Source organism: Homo sapiens, chromosome 14 (assembly GCF_000001405.40).
Source record: "Homo sapiens chromosome 14, GRCh38.p14 Primary Assembly".
Classification (NCBI taxonomy): Eukaryota; Metazoa; Chordata; class Mammalia; order Primates; family Hominidae; genus Homo; species Homo sapiens.
In genome coordinates, this window is record NC_000014.9 from 32,811,632 (window position 1) to 32,829,844 (window position 18,213).

At 39.0% G+C, this 18,213-nt stretch overlaps 1 protein-coding gene across 15 annotated transcripts in view, besides 2 other annotated features; it reads left to right on the plus strand.

The window, feature by feature from the left end:
- The window catches only part of AKAP6 (A-kinase anchoring protein 6), a 508,387-nt gene that overhangs the window by 482,334 nt on the left and 7,840 nt on the right, over nt 1-18,213 (plus strand). For all 15 annotated transcript variants that reach the window (XM_047431969.1, XM_047431966.1, XM_024449755.2 and 12 more), the window contains one exon: nt 9,771-13,184. In XM_047431969.1, the coding sequence (XP_047287925.1) occupies nt 9,771-13,142 (3,372 nt within the window). In that variant the 3' untranslated portion in view covers nt 13,143-13,184. The remainder of the gene's footprint in view (nt 1-9,770; nt 13,185-18,213) is intronic.
- Nucleotides 802-1,531: an enhancer, noted in NCBI's record as "NANOG-H3K27ac hESC enhancer chr14:33281639-33282368 (GRCh37/hg19 assembly coordinates)". NCBI's record gives its function as "activates a minimal SCP1, AML or CMV promoter by ChIP-STARR-seq in primed H9 embryonic stem cells {active_cell/tissue: H9 hESC(primed)}" and the evidence as "EXISTENCE:reporter gene assay evidence [ECO:0000049][PMID:30033119]".
- Nucleotides 1,532-2,261: an enhancer, noted in NCBI's record as "OCT4-NANOG-H3K27ac hESC enhancer chr14:33282369-33283098 (GRCh37/hg19 assembly coordinates)". NCBI's record gives its function as "activates a minimal SCP1, AML or CMV promoter by ChIP-STARR-seq in primed H9 embryonic stem cells {active_cell/tissue: H9 hESC(primed)}" and the evidence as "EXISTENCE:reporter gene assay evidence [ECO:0000049][PMID:30033119]".

The following is an 18,213-nucleotide window of genomic DNA, read 5'->3' on the forward strand; positions in this document are numbered from 1 at the left end:
ATAGATAGTGTCAACGTTGGATTAAATAGTAAGACACCCAGCTCATGTCTGGAGAGTGGACAGTTGCTTTTTTACTTGAGAAGCCTTATATCAGAACTGTAAAGGGCACGGTTCCTAAACGTGAGTGAACTCTATTATCTGATATAAGGCTTTTCAGGTAAACCCACATGTTGGCAAAGCTCTCCTTGTACCTTCGACTACCTCGGGATCATGCCAAGAATCTTGTGTTCTTGAAACTGAGTTTGCAAGTTGGGACCTTATGTCTATCTCACAGGAAAATTCGTATGTTAGAAAACTTCACTTGTTTACATGACTATTCACCTTCTCTTTTCTACCAATATGCATTGTAGGTTTTAAAAAATGTAAGTTTTTATTAACGTAAGATCATTTTCATAAAGGAGGGAGAAGGGTATACTTTTCCCTTAGGCAAAGGTGAGGCAAAAATTACATCCAGGGGTATAAAACTCACATGTTATGTCAATCCCTGAGCAATGTCAGGAAAAAAAATGGGGCCAGATATTATCATTGGGAGAAAAGAATGTATGCAACTTTGCATGTGGTTCTGTCACTGTCATTCAAACAGATTTACCATGTGGTAGAATGAAGAAAATGCCACCATTTCATTGCAGTTGGGATTTTTACAACTTCATTGATGTTATTTTTCTCTTGAACTTTCTTTTATTTGTTTCAGTTCTATGTAATACTAAAGAGGTAAGAAAGAGAAATTCTTTTAATTGAAAAACTCTTCCTAAATTTTTAAAAAATTCATTTTAAACAGTCCTACATTTAGGTACTTTCTTGAAACTCTGGGGGGAAATTCCAGGGAAACACCAAATATAGTGACTGAGAAACAAAAAATAAACCAGTTCTCCTATTCAGGCTCTTCTCAGTGTAATAAAAATTTCAGTGTGTTGACATGTAAAGCAACAGTCAAGATAATTTATTTGCCAGTGAAAAGTAGATTATTTTTCAAGTTACTTCTAGTGAAACATTCAGAGTTAGGTGGGAAAGTAACTTTTTTCTACAGTAGATGCTTAACAACTATGAATAATGATTTGCACAAGAATTAACTTGCTTAAGAAAAACAGAGCCTGATGCAAGGGATTCATCTGTTGCCACCTACCTATAATACTATCAACACTGAGGTTATTGCACCTGAGAATTCTTTAGAAATTATGACAGTATCTAATTCTTTGATTTATTGGCACAAATATATTGCTTCTCTATAAAAAGTTTCTCTACACACACTTAAAAGTTTCTCTGCACACACTCAGACAGCAAATGTGTGGGGTTTTTTTACACCAAGCTACTGTCTGCTCTCTGGACATGAGCTGGGTGTTCTACTATTTAATCCAACTTTGACAGTGTCTATCTGGAGTTAGCATCAGATCCCATACGGGAAAGGGCTCAGTCCCACAAGACTGCCTTCACTTCAGATGCCAATCACGCAATTTCCCATCCTTCTGACCCACGGGCTGTAAATTCCCACAACCCTTCCTTAGGTTATTCTAGCCATAACTTGCTAGAATTGCTAGAAGAGCTCAAGGAAACACTTTACTCACATTTACCAGTTTATTTAAAGATACAACTCAAGAAAAACCAGACGTAAAAGAAATGTGCAGGGTAAGGGGGCGGGCAAAGCTTCCACATTTCTCCAGGTACCTTACCCACCTAGCATCTCCAGGTGTTCTGCAACCTAGAAGTTCATCAAATCTCTTTGTTCAAGAAGAGTAGTTACAGTTTTCATCTCTAACCCTACCCCCCCCCCCAACCCCTTTCCCAGAGGTCCTTCGGTGGAGCTGAAAGTTCCAGCCCTCTAATCACTTGGTCTTTCTGGTGACCACCCCCAACCTGAGGCTATCTCAGGACCCTGCCCTAAATTTTCTCATTAGCATAAACTCTGTTGTGATCAAAAGGGGCCATTATGAATAACAAAAGGTATTCTATCGCTTAGGAAATTCCGAGGGCTTTAGGGGCTCTGTGCCAGAGAACTGGGACAAAGGCCAAATATATTTCCTATTATACCACAGCTTCTTAATCAAAATAGCACTTATGTGGGCAGCCCCTCCAGTGAACCTGAAGTTACAGTAAGAAAGGGAAGAAAAGAAATCCTTATATTTTTTTGTATTGCTCTTTCTTCTCGGAATTCCTTCCTACAACTTCACAATCATCCTGTTTATAGAACATTCAAGGTCTTTGCAACTTATTCTTCACACACAAAATCAAATTCAAAAGTGATAGGATTTTTTTTTTTTTTTTGCAGGGGGCGGTTGTTATGTAGAGTTGAGATGGGCTACTGTGCTTTGAGGGTAGAGGTATTAGAACAATTGAAGGGTTTCCTGTACATTCTATGACCTCTGTGGTTTCTCCAATTGTGTTCTCCTTCCAAGACTGGTGCTGGGACAAACAAGGTGTTGAACAGTACCTGACAGGGCCACACTCCTAATTTCAACTCAAATTTTGCCAGAGAAGCTGGACTTTTTCAGGCTACCTTCTAGCACATCCTGTACTTGTTTCTTCATGCACTGGCCTCTAGCACCTGCCCTCTCTAAGGTTACAGATGATTTTCTCTTCGTTTATTCAGTGGCTTTCCCTTAATTCACATAAAGTTAATCACTTTAAAGTGAGCAGTTCTGTGGCATTTAGTAGTTTTAAAATCATTTTAAAGTGAGCAGTTCTGTGGCATTCACCATGTTGTGCAACCACCACTTCTTCCAAACATTATCATCACTCCAAAAGGAAACCCCAAGCCTGTAAAGCAGTTGCATCCCATTCCTTCCTCCCCGCCCGCAGGCCCTGGAAAGTACCAGTCTCATTCATCTCTGCAGATTTACCTATTCTGGATACTTTATATAAATGGAATCATACAATATATGACTTTATTATGTCTGGCTTCTTTCATGAAACATGTTTTTGAGGCTATTAGCTTTTACAACTGAGAGTTTGCACCAGTTGAAAGTCAGGGATTTTCCACGTGATTTTGCCACAGCACAGTTTACCCTCAGAACCTTTCTCCAGATCCCTTCAACAGTTCTTGAGACAACAGGCAAGTCTTTTTACTTTTTTCCTTCAGATCACTCAGTAAATTTTTCCTTTCTTTCTTTTTTATTTTTTGGGGACAGGGTCTCACTGTGTCATCCAGGCTGGAATGCAGTGGTACAATCATAGCTCACTACAGCCTTGAACTCCTGGGCTCAAGCAGTCCTCCTGCCTCAGCCTTACGAGTAGCTGGGACTACAGTCATGTGCCACCATGCCTGGGCAATCAGTAATCACTTTTTAAGAAGCTGCTTCATGCCAGGCACTATTTTAAGTACTGGGGCTCTAGTGGAGACAGGACAGTCAGAGTACCTGTCCTCATGAAGTTTATTTATGGGAAGAAAACCCCTGCTTCCCATTACTGGACTCCCTTTTGTCCCTGATCCCTTTTGAGAACAAAGGCAATTTTTACTGTTATAAAACTTACTTTAAAACAACATCTAATGGATTTTTCATTTTCAACTATTTCAGAATTATCTGTGTAGTCAAGACTAGGAAATGTGTCCGTGTCAGTACTGATTTTAGTGAGATTTGTGAGATGACTTTGGATTTTACTTGTCTGTTTTGAGTTTCTGATCAGCTTTGTTATTGAAAAAGAGCATTCACTAGAACAGTTTTTGATCATTAGTGTGAGATAGACTTTCAAAGCGTTTTCTGAACTGAGACAAGTTACTTTAACATTGTTGTCAATCTGATAGATAGTGAGCAGGATTTGATTGCTCTAATGGGTCAGTTGTGATAGAATTTCAGACAATGGACTTGCCTTTTTTAAAAAAAGGTTATTTTCAGGAAATAGAAAGTTCTTGAGCTATGGGCCTTGCTGAGGACTGGGCAAGTGTCTTTTCTCATTTGGTTATCTTTGTGGGATAAGTCCAGCTAGGATATGAAAAGACAAATGTATCACCTCATTTACAGTGCAGTAGAGGTGAGTAAGGGGCCTAATCAATGTTTCTTTCTTTGACTCTTTGGTCGTACCAAAGAGATTAGTCAACCAACCTCCAGTCTTAAACACTGTTAACGGTTATTTAGGATTCAGCCATACTATCGTCTCCTCACTTCACCAGAGGGAATATATATGCTGATGGCTGCCAGTCATTCCACCCCTGCTGTGTACCGGGCTCTCCCCTAGGACTTTACGTACATTTTAGTAATTTAAAGCTCCCAACAGTCTATAAGGCAGATACAATGTACTGTAATTGTCCCAAGATAAACAAATGATGGAACTGAGGCATATAGAAGTTAAATAACTTGTCCAGGATCACACAGCTAACATATGGGAGGGCTGATCCAGGATTCAAACCCAAACCTGTATGAGTACCTCCTCCAGTTGCAAAATGGCTGATAAACATTGAACATTATTCTTTTTATCCTAATTTCTATTTTATTCTATGTTTTTTCTTGCTGACTCTGAATCCATTCTCTGCTCAATAAGAGGCAGAGTACTACAAACTCAGAGTTCTCTTAAAAGTTATCTTTCCATTTTCAGAGATGGAAGCAGCTGTTTGTCATTGCTCTTATATGGTTTGTTTGTTTGTTTGTTTAGAGACAGGGTATTGCTGTATTGTCAAGCTGGTGTGCAGTGGCATGATCATGGCTCACTGCAGTGTTGAACTCGTGGCCTCAAGCAATCCTTCCACCTCAGCCTCCAGAGTAGCTAGGACAACAGGCACATGCCACCATGCCTGGCTAATTTTAAAAAATTTTTACATTGAGACAGTGTCTCACTATGTTTCCCAGGCTGGTCTCAAACTCCTGGGTTCAAGCGATCCTCCTGCCTCAGCCTCTCAAAGTGCTGGAATTACAAGCACGAGCCACTGTACCTGTCCTGCTTTTGTTTTTGTTTTTATAAAATTTCTACCTAAGTCTAATTTAGGAAAATAATTATGTAACTAATGCTCAGACACTTTGGTTTAGGTTCAGGGTTACAGGGTGCCAAGAAAAGCAGAGTATAGAATGTTGGCATTTCCCCTAGTTTAAATTGGTTCATCTATACTGAGGTATATGTTATTTTCTCCCACCTCTCCATCACCCCCTCAAACCTGTGTGTTCTGCTTTTCACCCTGGGGTAAATATGTACACCTTTATTCAATTACAGTTATTGCTGCTTATGTTTTTGTCACTTTTATTTATTTATATGTTATTGTTGTGTTCTACTTTTCTCCAGATAAATCTCTCCTGCCTGGTTTTTGCATGTGGTACTGCCCAATAAACTCCTGGATCTAGAATAAACAGGGGGAGCACATATTACAAAACCTTCTTAAAGGTTCTGCACATTCTGAGTACCAGAAGTTTGACTGTAACATTCAGTTCATCCTAGTCTTTTTGAGATTTTTTAGAAAAAAATCTTTCAAAAGATGCAACTTTTGAAAGGAAATTAAAGGTATCTAGAGGCGGCTACATCAATTCTCTATTAGGTTATTGTTTTGTAGACTGTCGAGTTCCTTTATCTTTACTCTTTAGGTAATAAAGTATTTCTCATCTCTTATACACACCCACCATTTAAGCTAAAATTGTAAGAAAATCCTGGAAATGCAATCATGGGAGACCTAACTCAATTAAAGCCATACACATGCAGAGGGTATTAATTGAGATGGGTATTACCTGCCACGGTTGGAATCTTGGTTCTTCTTTTTTTGTCATCATCATAATCATTTCTCCACCACTTTTATTGCTTTCTCTGTATATGTTGTGCTAATATAAATAAAATGCTTCCAAGTGTAAAAATAATAAAATAAACTAGCATTATTTAATTCCATTTGTTTCTTGAGCAGATCTGTATAGCTGTGTGTGTGTGTGTGTGTGTGTGTGTGTGTGTCTGTGTTTGTGTGTGTGTGTGTGTGTGTGTGTGTGTGTAATTATTTATATAATGCCTTGGTTTGGGCCAAAATTCTGTACCCATGCAGCAAGTCTATGAATAGAAGACCCTTGCATGAATTAATTCAGAATTATTTCTGGAATTGCAGGCTGTCTTTTGGAACCTCATTTATTACTCCCTATCCATTTGGTCTCATTCAAATACTCTTAGATTTTGTCTAAATTCATTTAGATTTATCACTATATCAAAGACAGGAACATTGTGCCTTTTTTAAAAAGTACCAAATAGCTCCTCTGGGAAAACAACAACAACAAAAACAAACGTTTGATTAGCTTGAGCATTATTGGTTGTGTTGGGCTATCATCAAAGAGAGCATTCAACCAAATAATTTTCCTATCAGTTACATCTTTGTATATGCAAATCTTTTTTTTCCCAAAGAGAACTTTTTTAGTTATATAAATACTCTAACATCTTTCTTGGAAACTTTTCCCACTTTCTTGCCCCAGGGGTATATTTTATGGTTGAAGTTAAATCCTGAGGAAATGGAGATTTTATTGAAAATATTGACAGAATTTAATCCACAACAGGAAGGGAGTGAGCGAGGGCAGAGTGAGTAGCACTTCTTTAATATGAAAAAATTTAAAGTCTAAAGTGAATGATTTTCTAATGAATCCTGTCAGATATTTCCTGGAATTGCCATACAAGAAATTTTCAGAAATCACAATAAATATAAGAGGTTTATAAGAGCAGAGAGTTAATAAAAGAACAGTATTACATCCAAAAGTTTAATCTTTTCCTATGGAAATTTTCCATTCCAACTACAGCTGTTTGTCAGTGTTCCTTCCCCACCACACACACACACAGATACCAAAATCCTCAGATGCCCAAGTCTCTGATATAAAATGGTTTATTATTTGCATATAACCTACAGTCATCCTCTCTCTTTACTTTAAATCATCTCTAGATTAGTTACAGTAGTTCATACAATGCCTACACATCACTTGACACAGGGAAAACTTGGGTTTTTTTTTTTTGTAACCGTGAAATTTTTTTTTACAAATATATTTGATCTGCAGTTGGTTGAATTCATGAATTTGGAACCCATGGATATGGAGGGCCAACTATATTTTACTGAGCAAAGGAATTTTTTCCTTTAGGTGCTGCTATAAATTTTATAGTTTCTTAGGCTTGAATTCGTAAAGCCGTAAAGGCAGCATTTGGTCAGAAAACGACTGTGTCATGGAAGATGAGTCTGACTTGCAGGTGCCACTTGGGCTTAGCTCCCAGCCCATCCAGATGGCACAATTCCCGCTTCTCCATGTGAGCCCCTAGGTTTGGGATCCTTGTGGAAAATCTGTGCTGCTAAATGTTAAAGTCAACCAGAGAGTTACAAAAAGAGCTCCTTTGAAAGACTAATTCAATTATTTATTAGCACTCTCAGAGTACAGTGTCAGCCAAGATAGTATTTGAAATTAATATACTATTTGATTAGACTGATTGATTGTTCCTACAGCTGAAGATTTTAACATTCATTAGCCGTACTAACTGGTCATTAGTACTTCCTTTATCAGCAAGCAAAGAATAAACAGAAATTCTAATAAAAATTCATCACAGTGAATGTACTCCGTACCTAAGCCACTGTGATGATTGCTGGGTACTAGATTAACTGCTGTAACATTGGCAGTGGGAAAGATTTCTCTTAGAAAACTTAAAAATTTCCCTTAATTAATGTTTAGCTTGTAACTGGACTCTTAAACTTAAGTAGGCTATACAGATAATCTCTTACATACCCAGTATAATAAAGTGCTAATGGGTATTTTATACTTAATGTGTTTGTGTGGTACCCTTTAACTATTAGTTTCAGGAAGGATTGAGGGCTTCTTAGGAAAGTTTGCTAACATGCTGCAGGTGACGCTTTTTCCCCACTACTGAGGAATACAAGCATCATGGGCTGTTTTTCAACCAGACAGTTAAAATAATTCTGACATTAATACAAATATGCTAGCCTGTTATGCTGTGTGATACCTCTGTCTTTCTGCCAAGTCGTGAATCCCTTGTGGTTTTAATAGCAAATTGGAAGGTATGATGTGAAGAAGAGAATGAAGCAGGCAGAGGAAACCCTTTATGAATTGACTCAAGACCACACTAGAGCGATTCTGCATGTATTAAGAATTATAGCTACTGGCTGGATGTGGTGGTTCACACCTGTAATCCCAGCACTTTGGGAGGCCAAAGTGGGAGGATCACTTGAATCCAGGAGTTCAAGACCAGCCTGGGCAACATAGTGACACCCTGTCTCTACAAAAAATAAAAATTAGCCAGGTACGGTGGCACGCACCTGTAGTCCCAGATACTTGGGAGGCTAAGGCGGAAGGATTGTTTGAGCCTGGGAGGTTGAGACTGCAGTGAGCTGTGATTACACTACTGCACTCCAGCCTGAGCGACAGAGCAAGACTGTGTCAAAAAAAGAAATACATATATATATATATGTATGGCCACCTAATACTGTCTGCCTTCTCAGCACTTCGCAAGCACTAGCTTGTTTAATACTCAGAATGATCTTGAAAAATTGACAGTGCTATCCCCATTTTACAGGCAATGAGACTGTTGCTCAGAAAGGTTATTAAGCAGCTTGTCCAAGGTCATGCATATGGTAAGCAGCAAAGTCAGCCCTTCAACCAGTCTGCAAGTTCTAGTGCCATACTCATCTGCTTGGCTACGCTGCATAAGCATAAGCTGAACTTAGAAGTTCTGTTTGTGTTTCTGTCTGTAGGTGAGCCCATCAAGTTCTGCACTATGTATATATATATATAATCTTTCTTGGCTCTAGCATGAATTCAGACAGCTGGAGAGCAAGTAAGGACAGTGAAGGAATTTGAACAGAGTCCAGGAGCCTAGCCAGCTACTGTGTCCCAAAATATGTCAAGCTCTATCTAAACAGAGGCAGAGCCAAGAAGTCCAAGGAAACATCAAGGGTCCCAAGTGGGCAGGCAGAGAGCAGCATAAGGGAATCTGGGCTACTTCATCCTGGGGTGGTCAGGAAAGTCTTCAAATAATTATTCTGGGGCTGGTGTGGGCTGGAGTGAGAGGTTCCTGTCTATCAGAAATGGGGGAAGGACTAACAGTAAGTAGTGAGCCAAGTTAACAAGGACCAAAGTGAAGTCTCTGTCACAGATAGAGACTGGAAAGAAAGGGGCTGAGAGAACTTTGACTAAGAAATTGCCCTGGAGCATTCAGGGTCTAGGAAGATACAGCTAAGGAGAATAGTCAAGTGTTGCTAGTCTTATGTCTGATTGGGAGCAGGGCCACAGTCTGAAAAGACAGATCCCTGAATAGGAACACAGAGGAAGGGGGGGTACACAGTCATGTGCCTCTGGCCCATGAAGTGCTCTACATGGTGGCTACAACTCTATTTTAAGTCCCCAGGCAAAAGCTGCTTAAAATGGAGAACCCAGGAATAGAGGCAAGAAGGAGTTTGCCATGTGTGGCTGCAGATAGTATTCTACTATGGACTCCAGAACTGAAATAGTATCAGTGTGAATGCACCTTAGGAGATGTCATAGGCTGTACTATTTTTACCTTCATTCACCTGATAGTTTTCACTCTATCCAAGATTCAAAATGTAGATGAATCAATAGGAAATGGCTAATTCCATAAATTACAATTTGACAATAATAATCTTACATTTTAGTCTATGTTATTGCCTTCAGTAACAAATTACTATTGATAGAAAAGCCTCTTTCAGTAATTTCTGGGTGTTATTTCAGAGAGGAATAGAGTTGATAATTAGGCCGTCTTTCAAGTCCATGCTTGGGGCAGTTTTCTTTCCTGAGTCTTCTGAGAGATTTTCAATGGATAAAATTTTCATGCTTGTGTTCCCTAATTCTTCTCCTTTTCTTTTTCTTTCTCTCACACAGGAGACTTTGAATGTGATTGATCCTGGCTTGATGGACCTAAATGGGATGAGTGAGGATGCCCTGGAATGGGATGAAATGGACATAAGTAACAAGTTAATTAGTTTGAATGAGGAATCAAATGACCTTGATCAAGAACTCCAACCTGTTATCCCTTCCTTGAAGCTTGGAGAGACAAGTAATGAGGACCCTGGTTATGACGAGGAGGCTGATAACCATGGGGGATCTCAGTATGCCTCAAATATTACTGCCCCCTCTAGTCCACACATTTACCAGGTGTACAGCCTCCACAATGTTGAACTCTATGAGGACAACCACATGCCATTTCTGAAAAACAATCCAAAGGTCACTGGCATGACACAGCCTAATGTTTTAACTAAGAGTCTCAGTAAAGACTCTTCATTTTCATCTACCAAATCTTTGCCAGATCTTCTAGGTGGTTCCAATTTGGTAAAGCCCTGCGCATGTCATGGAGGAGACATGAGCCAGAATTCAGGCAGTGAGAGTGGAATTGTCAGTGAAGGAGACACAGAAACCACTACCAACTCTGAAATGTGCTTGCTCAATGCAGTGGATGGGTCCCCAAGTAACCTTGAAACTGAACATCTGGACCCACAAATGGGAGATGCAGTTAACGTGTTAAAGCAAAAATTTACAGATGAGGGGGAAAGCATTAAGCTTCCAAATAGCTCTCAGTCGTCCATTTCACCAGTGGGTTGTGTAAATGGAAAAGTTGGAGATTTAAACAGTATTACCAAACATACCCCTGACTGTTTGGGAGAAGAATTACAAGGAAAACATGATGTGTTTACATTTTATGATTACTCATACCTCCAAGGCTCAAAACTCAAATTACCAATGATAATGAAACAGTCACAAAGCGAAAAAGCGCATGTGGAGGATCCCCTGCTTCGTGGTTTTTATTTTGATAAAAAATCATGCAAATCTAAACATCAGACTACAGAGTTACAACCAGATGTACCTCCCCATGAAAGGATTTTGGCAAGTGCATCTCATGAAATGGATCGCATTTCATATAAAAGTGGCAATATAGAAAAGACATTCACTGGCATGCAGAATGCCAAACAGCTCTCCCTTTTATCTCATAGTTCATCTATTGAGTCCCTTTCTCCAGGGGGTGATTTATTTGGATTGGGCATCTTTAAAAATGGCAGTGACAGCCTCCAGCGAAGCACTTCTTTAGAAAGTTGGTTGACTTCCTATAAAAGCAATGAAGATCTCTTTAGCTGTCACAGCTCTGGGGATATAAGCGTGAGCAGTGGCTCAGTTGGTGAACTAAGTAAAAGAACATTAGATCTCCTGAATCGTTTGGAGAATATCCAGAGCCCCTCAGAGCAAAAGATAAAACGAAGTGTTTCTGATATCACTCTTCAAAGCAGTTCCCAAAAGATGTCCTTTACTGGCCAGATGTCATTGGACATAGCATCTTCTATCAATGAAGACTCAGCGGCATCTCTAACAGAACTTAGCAGCAGTGACGAGCTCTCTCTTTGCTCAGAGGATATTGTGTTACACAAGAACAAGATCCCGGAATCGAATGCATCGTTCAGGAAGCGTCTGACTCGTTCAGTGGCTGATGAAAGCGATGTCAATGTCAGCATGATTGTTAATGTCTCTTGCACCTCTGCTTGCACTGATGATGAAGATGACAGCGACCTGCTCTCCAGCTCTACCCTTACCTTGACTGAAGAAGAGCTGTGCATCAAAGATGAGGATGACGACTCCAGTATTGCAACAGATGATGAAATTTATGAAGACTGCACCTTGATGTCAGGGCTAGACTACATAAAGAATGAATTACAGACCTGGATTAGGCCAAAATTGTCTTTGACAAGAGATAAGAAAAGGTGCAATGTCAGTGATGAGATGAAGGGCAGTAAAGATATAAGTAGCAGTGAGATGACCAATCCCTCTGATACTCTGAATATTGAGACCCTTCTAAATGGCTCTGTAAAACGTGTCTCTGAAAATAATGGAAATGGTAAGAATTCATCTCATACCCATGAGTTAGGGACAAAGCGTGAAAATAAGAAAACTATTTTCAAAGTTAATAAAGATCCATATGTGGCTGACATGGAAAATGGCAATATTGAAGGTATTCCAGAAAGGCAAAAGGGAAAACCGAATGTGACTTCAAAGGTATCAGAAAATCTTGGTTCACATGGGAAAGAGATTTCAGAGAGTGAGCATTGTAAGTGTAAAGCACTTATGGATAGTTTAGATGATTCAAATACTGCTGGCAAGGAATTTGTTTCCCAAGATGTTAGACATCTTCCAAAGAAATGTCCAAATCACCACCATTTTGAAAATCAAAGCACTGCCTCTACTCCCACTGAGAAGTCTTTCTCAGAACTGGCTTTAGAAACCAGGTTTAACAACAGACAAGACTCTGATGCACTGAAATCATCTGATGATGCACCGAGTATGGCTGGAAAATCTGCTGGTTGTTGCCTAGCACTTGAACAAAACGGAACAGAGGAAAATGCTTCTATCAGCAACATTTCCTGTTGCAACTGTGAGCCAGATGTTTTCCATCAAAAAGATGCCGAAGATTGTTCAGTACACAACTTTGTTAAGGAAATCATTGACATGGCTTCGACAGCCCTAAAAAGTAAATCTCAACCTGAAAACGAGGTGGCTGCTCCTACTTCATTAACTCAAATCAAGGAGAAAGTGTTGGAGCATTCTCACCGGCCCATCCAGCTGAGAAAAGGGGACTTTTATTCGTACTTATCTCTCTCATCTCATGACAGTGATTGTGGGGAGGTCACCAATTACATAGAAGAGAAAAGCAGCACTCCATTGCCACTAGACACCACTGACTCGGGCTTAGATGACAAGGAAGATATTGAATGCTTTTTTGAGGCCTGTGTTGAGGGTGACTCTGATGGAGAGGAGCCTTGTTTCTCTAGTGCTCCTCCAAATGAATCTGCAGTTCCCAGCGAAGCTGCAATGCCACTACAAGCAACAGCATGTTCTTCTGAGTTCAGTGATAGTTCTCTTTCAGCTGATGATGCAGATACAGTGGCTCTTTCAAGTCCTTCCTCTCAGGAAAGAGCTGAGGTTGGAAAGGAAGTGAATGGTTTGCCCCAAACTTCCAGTGGCTGTGCAGAAAACTTAGAGTTTACTCCTTCAAAGCTTGACAGTGAAAAGGAAAGTTCCGGAAAACCAGGTGAATCTGGAATGCCAGAAGAACATAATGCTGCTTCAGCCAAATCTAAAGTTCAAGACCTCTCCTTGAAGGCAAATCAGCCAACAGACAAGGCCGCATTGCATCCCAGCCCCAAAACTTTAACCTGTGAAGAAAATCTTCTAAACCTTCATGAAAAACGACATAGAAATATGCATAGGTAGAATGTACCCCCTCCCCAAGCATGAAAATCATCTCACTGAAAGGTACGTATAGTCCTCATGCCGTATATGTATTTAAAATATTGAGTTCAGGTCAGCAAAACCATGGCAGGAGAAAAGGCTAGTCAGAATGACCAGTTACGGCAGACAGTTATCTGAATAAGACATTTAGGTAGAAGAAATGCTCTCAACAATGAAAGTAACTGTGAAGCAAAAGAAAAAAAAAACAGGGAAAATTGACATTCTTAGTGACATTATCTTTATTACATAATTCTGGCAAGAATACAAAATTTGAGGAAGTAGTTGAACAATTTAAGGCCTCAAATTCTTCCATTGAGGGAGAATAAAAAGCTTATCCAAATCGCAATTATACTCCATGATCAAAATGCATGCATAGTAACAATGCTCTCCACTTCAGTTTCCTGCACAGAGAGCTGTCCGTTCTCTTCAGTGCCTGCAGATGAACAATGATTAGGCTAAAGGCCACATCTCCTGATTTGGCCCTTCCTTTTATGCTTCTGTCTAATGTAACTATCGTCACATTTGCTTCCCCAGTGGAAGACTGTGCTGTCACAACTCCTAATCACGGCCATGTCTAAGGATTCAAACAGGAGGGGAAAGTTGATGTTAAAGAAGAGGCTCTTATTTATCCACATACAGATTGAGAACAGGCTCAGAAAGCAAATGCAGAGAGAATACATGACAAGTTAATGGCGTTTTGATAAAAACAGAATTTTTGAATTTTGCCTGAAGGTGACAGGCTGATTTCCATCAAATTTTTTAAGAAAGTCATTCCACTCTTCACATTTAATAAGACAGCTATTGATCGATAATTCCAAGATGATGATATGTCTCTAAAAGTGACACAAAGATTCTGTTATTTCCCATTTCTAAGCCCCAGTGATGAATATGCTTTCTCAATCAAGTTTAAAGAAAATTTGAGCTTTCAAATGTGAGAGTCATATTTCACCCAAGTATGAGATGCCTAATGCCACCTCCACCCCCCACTCCAGAAGCTTAATGCCGTCACCTAAACTCGTGCTATAGGAAATGAATTACAGAAGCAATCTACCCTAATTTGTTAACTTATTCAAATAACAGTTATTATACTTAACTATGCTAAAGATTATCTTTTTTGTGGCAGATTGTTTATTTTTTGATGAGCCTAATTACTGATTTTCTAAAAGTAATTTACATTTATTACAAATACATCTTTTAAAATGTGACAGATAAATGTTGTTCCCATAATGTATTATGAAAAAAGTTACTATTTAAAAACACATTATTTAATTTGAAAGATGAATGGCAAACATCATTATTTTTTTTTCCTGCAACACCTGTGCCCTAAGCTTATTAAAATGTGTGATTCTGTGTAGAGCTGCTAGAAATGGGGACTAAGGGGGGGCATCTATACCATATATACCCTAAAAATAAACTCAGTATGCAAAATTGAAGAAAGGCATCCCACTTACTAATATAGCTCAACTAATTTTCTGTGTTTCAGACTCTATTTACAATTGGCTGCAAGTGAGAACAAAAGTAGGAGAGAGAGAAATGTATTTTCTGTGAAACATGTCCACCCTATAATCACATTCTCCATCAGTATGCAGTAAAACTGACCATTAAGGGAGAGTAACTGCAATTCCATAAGCTGCTTCAAAACAAGTCCTATTAGAACCGATTGTACTGCTGGCTCTGCCAACCTCCGCAGAAGGGCTGGTAGAGCCTGGCTGATTTTGTTTTCTGAAAGGGGATAAAGGCTTGAAAGCAACACCACTCTGAGCATGACATCATGTGACTGTGACCCTCAAGTCACCAGTCATGCTGAGATCTGGAGCTCCAGAAGCTCTGGCACTGGAGAAGCCTTTGCGAAGCACTCTCCCTTTTTTGATCCTCTGGGAATTTCTTCTCTCTCTTACATAGACGTAGAATTGAAATGAAATGTAAATGATGAGCAGCTCCATCTTTAGACTTGGAGGAAGTGAATGTGCTGGTGGATCTGTGTAACCCTCACATTTTACAAGCAGGGACAATGTCAAACTAGCAGCCAGCCCGTCTGCCAGTCAGCAGTATTTTTTGTTAAGCCCCGGTGATGCCTGGCCTTATCTCGGGCAAAGGGAGAAACAGCCAGATTTTACTTCTGCAGAACTCACATCGCCCCCAAGTGACTTGTTATAGGCCTAGAGCCATTTAAATAGCCATATTTACTGGTCCTATTCAGGATTTTTTTCAGTATCATGTGGACAAAACATCTGGATGCCTGAAATTTTTACCAGACGTTAGCATTGGATAACTGGGTATAAATAGTCACATATTGTTAAAATACTATCAACCAGGACAAATTATTTAATCTCAAAATGTTGACATGCCTTCAGTATTTAATGTCAAGAATACATAGTAAAAATTGTTTGATAAATATGAGGTTTCATGTCTACAAGAGCTTAATTGTTGTCATTGTTCTTACTACAAGTTCAGAAAAAGAAAAAGAAAAAGCTGTGCTTTTTAAAGACATTTGAAAACCATCAGTGGTGATGCTCTTTTTATCAGGACAGTAAAATTCACCAAATTCCATTTGCTTGGTTTTTTTTTTTTTCCAGAACTAAGTTTTCAGATGATGAAATGATTATAATGCCACCCAGAAGAGATATAACTTAGAATAGCAGATAGAGTCTGCAACAGTAACAAAAATGTTTTCCAGATTTTCAAATGTTTTTTATTTACTGTGTTCTAATTAAAAACCCACTGAAACTGCTTGAGAAGTTTTAACATGATCTAACAGTATGCATTTGCACTGATTTCCAGGCATACTGCTGTGCTTTTCACTATTTTCATTTTTGTGTCATGTTTCTATAAAAATAGAGGGGTCAGTTACAGCAAATCACATCAAAGGAAAGGTAACTGGATAGATCCAGATCTTTCTGCCTAATTTGGAGGAAGCACATAATGTATGTCTGGAGTGCCTCCTAGGACCTGCCTCAGAGATGTACTTTGCGCTAATCTTTTTGCTGTATTCTGACAGTTATTTCTTCATAATCCTCATCATAAGCCTCTGATCTTTGATGAATGGTTTAACCCTAAACTTCAGGCTGGATAAATCCCGTGGTATAAAAATTTAACTCATCATATGCGGCCAGTGTGTGCTTTTTCTTTTCCTTTTGGTCTGCTCTAGTGATTTGGGGTTTTGTTTTACTATGTGTATGTGTATGAGTGTGGTGTTTTGGGGGGTGGGTTGAGGAGCTGTATTTACTTACAGTGCATATATTTCCTTTAGAACTTTTTAGCTTTATTGCCTTTTCTACTTTATTGGTCTGTAAATGTGATAGTTGGTGGCCAGTAGATTTTAGATTTTAGGCAATTACTTGTATTTGTGCATGCTCAAGTACGCACATAAAGAGTTTTAAATGCTGCTGCTCAGATTTTACAAACTGAGAAAGCTGTAAGAGCAAACATTTCTCATGCACACAGCACAATTCCCATTCTGTTAATTGGATTGACATTAGGTGCTTAATATTTTCCAAAGCTGGTCAACTAGGTTTAAGAAACTACCTTTGGTGATTGTGTATGAATTTTGCACTAGACAATACAGGTATAATCTTATCAAACTTACCTTTAAAATCACTTTAATAAACCAATGTTTTGCTGGATGTGAAGTGTCTTTAAATTATCTGGCACTTCTGAATAACTAGCCCTGCTATGCTAAATGACAAGGATGTTACTGGGCATCACCTATCATCTATCTCTCTCTCTCTCTCTCTCTCTCACACACACACACACACACACACACACACACACACACACACACTCTCACACCCCAGATCTGTGCCTCAGCCAATTGGCCTGCCCATTTCCAAGTGGGCCAAGTTGAAAGAATTGATTACCTAGAGAGAATTTAAATGCCAGCATTTAGTAAGACCAGATTTGCCTCACCTAGGGAATCCCTATTCTGTGGCCAGATTTCAAATGAGTCATGTCCTCAGCATTTGAACAATGCACTGGGCTTTCTTGTGTTACTGCATTATTTTACTATACCAAATTTCATCCCATCTGTTTCTGTCTGTCTCCCCCAGTTCTTTATCTAATTTTTCTTCTTTCTCCAACTCCCCATGGCTCCAGCCAAACCACTTTTTGTTAAGGTTTTTCTGGCTCTTAAGTTGAAAGATTGTAGAAAAACAGAGAGCAAGACAAAGAGCATATTCGTTCTTGAAGGACAGTAAAACAACCTGATATGAGAAATCAGAACTCAGTTTAAGCCCAGACAAGCAAAAGCCTGCTTTCTTTGAGAGCTGGTCAGGGGGACTTACAATAGTTGCATCCTGCATTGCCTAAACTTGGTATTTAGGTGTTCCTCACATTTGACCAGTTGCTTTTAGCCATTTAGAAACAGGCAGAATGGATCAAGTTTGGAAGAAATTTATATCATAGCCATGAGATGTACAAATATAATTGAATCCATCTCGTTTCCACAATGCTGTATGTACCTTAAATGAAATGCATTACTATTTGAGCTAGAAGCCCCAGTTGTATCTTTTTATAGGCTGAAACACTTAGGATAATCACAATGTTGTGAATATTTCACCACTATACAATAGTGGAATTGTTCGATATCATGCATAAAATCACTGCAGGAAGGGTTAAGCCTGAGAGCCTATCAGCTCCCAGTCTGTGGAATCATTGTACATTGTAAATATTTTGCCGCATCACTTGGCATCAGTGGCCTCACATTTTCATATTGGTTTGAAGCTATTTTGATGTTCCAAACTGAGTGCACAGGCAAAAGAGTGGATGACATCCAGAGAAAAGGTCAAACTTGATGATTTTTCTTGTTTTCTTTGAAACCACGTCTTTTTAAAAAAAAAAAAAAATCAATGTATTTTTCACATCTACGCTGAGACTTTTTTTGTCAGTAATGTGAAGCTTGGGCTATTAAAATTATTTATATTTTATGTATCTTTATATTTCAGAACATTAGCAAGTAGTCCCACAATTGCAGCCTTCAATGGTTCCTCAAAGGGCTTGGTTTTGCTAATGAAAAATACATTTCTGAAACCTTTTCTTGTCACTTTTTTGTTTCTTG